Below are 2392 nucleotides of genomic sequence, written 5' to 3'. Positions count from 1 at the left end.
TGGGGGTGTAATCCTGGATTAGCCAATGGGCCAAATGTGACCACAAGTGTCCTTCTGAGAGGGAGTGGAGAGGGCCAGAGTCAGACAGAGATGCGGTGATGTCTGCAGAGCTGGGCGTGCTGGGATTGTTCACTGAATGGTGTTATGAACAAAGGAATGGAGCCGGCCTCTAGGACTGGAAAAGGAAAGGAAATGAATTCTCCCCAGGGCCTGCAGGAGGAGTGCAGTCCTGCCAACACATTTCTTCCCCCTTATGACTTAATTGCGGCTTCTGATGTCCAGAATTGTAGGATAATCAATGTGTGTTGTCTGCAGACTCAATGCGTTTGGTAGTTTGTGACAGCAGCAATAGGAAACACACACAGACATCACCCCCTCTGGGCCCCCTGGACTCCAGTTCCCATGCATGCCTAGGTTAATGAAGAATTTACTTAGAGGATATTCACACACACTAGTTAATAGTGGGAAATATGTTTATATCTCTATTTCAAATTTTATTTAACCCACTCTGTTTAAGTTAACCAAGTTTAAAGGGTAAGTTTTCTGAAAAGGATGGACTGTCTTTAAAATGAGACAGGCTTTTGACTCAGTTAGTTCTCTTCATACCCAAAAATAGTGAATTTCAATGATGAAGGCCAACATTGTGCAGTTTTTTTTTTAACACATCCAACGGGGGGAAAATCCTTATAGCGATTGGTAAAATTTGTATGAGGTTCTTTTCTTATTGGAAAAAGACCCTTTTGGGATGTTCACACTAATCAGCATATCTTAGGATATGATTTTGTTTTTCCATTTCTATTGGGTCTAAAAACGGAGCAGCAGGCTGAGAAAAAATTGGGATCTTGGGAATGCTAACTGTTCATTTCACTGACAAGTTGTAACCAATTGTTTTATCAATATATATTTATGGATCATTTTCCATAGAGAGGATTAAGTAAGTACAAAGAAGTAAAAGAAGGGTACCAATTCTCAAAGAGTTTACAATATGATGTAGTCAGACCTTCCCTGATACCGTGATAATTGGGGCAAATGAAAGCAAAAGAAAAGTTACAAGGTCATTAACACCTAGAAAAATTGGTTTAGGATTATTTGATAACAAAAAATACTGAGGAGTAACACCATATCAGAATGAATTAATTCTTCATAAACTTGTGTGAAAATGAGTATCACATTGAGCAGTGACTGAGAAAGTTGTGAGTTAAATAGGAAAGATATCTAACTGTTCACAGGTATGTTTACTTGTTCAAATTTTCTCCAAACTGTGCACCATTCTTTAAAGATATTTATTGCTAATCAGAAATGAGCAGCCCTAGTTTCTGTAGAAGGTAATTGTAATGATATCCCACATCTAAGAAAAAATAGCCTTTCTTAAGGGCATGGACCCAAAAGACACAATGACATACAGTGCTTCATATTCATGAGGCCACTCAAGACAGAATCCTTCATTACAGAGAATGTTAACCAATCTGGGGACTTGCACAGTGGAAGCAAACATTTCCGTTCTTCTTGAAGAATTCACAAGAGGAAAGGAGGTGGAACTAGCAGCAGTAAGGAGAGGCATATCAGCTCCATGTGGATGGATCTGGGATGGGAAGTGAAGATTCTGGAACAACACTGGTCCTTCCTCCATCTCCCTGACAACTTCTTTCCTGGAGCTTCCCGATATTCTTCTTCCTTCATTCACTCAGTAAATGTTGAGCTTCCCCAAACCTCTCTTCCTCCTGCTCTATCCCCTACTCTTAGGTAAATCGGTGATCTCAACCTTCAGCTGTGGACTGATACCCGCAGTCGTATTTCCAGTTGATATGGTTTGGCTGCGTCCTCACCCAACTCTCACCTTAAATTATAATAATCCCCACATGTCAAGGGCAGGATCAGGTGGAGATAATTGAATCATGGGTGCAGTTTTCCCTATACTGTTCTCGTGGTAGTGAATAAGCCTCACGAGATCTGATGGTTTTATAAATAGGAGTTCCCCTGCCCAAACTCTCTCGCCTGCTGCCGTATAAGATGTGACTCTGCTCCTTATTCGCCTTCCGCTATGATTGTGAGGCCTCCCCAGCCATGTGGAACAGTGAGTCAATTAAGCCTCTTTCCTTTATAAATTACCCAGTCTTGGGTAGGTCTTTATTAGCAGCATGAGAACAGACTAATACACCACTCAAGACCTGCATTTTAAGGTCCCAACTCAACTGTGAGTCTGCCCTTGTAGCTTCCCCAGGAATCTGTTACATCGCTATCACACCATTGTATTGAAATCACTTATTGATTCATTTTGCAGACTTTCCAAAAGAGAACAGCAACTCAAGGACTGTCCTGGGTATCTTGAAGTCCTACAGTCCTGGCATAATGCTTTGCACACAATGAGTGCTCCATGAATGCAGTGACATAA

Source organism: Homo sapiens, chromosome 5 (assembly GCF_000001405.40).
Source record: "Homo sapiens chromosome 5, GRCh38.p14 Primary Assembly".
Classification (NCBI taxonomy): Eukaryota; Metazoa; Chordata; class Mammalia; order Primates; family Hominidae; genus Homo; species Homo sapiens.
This window is presented reverse-complemented; position numbering follows the sequence as displayed.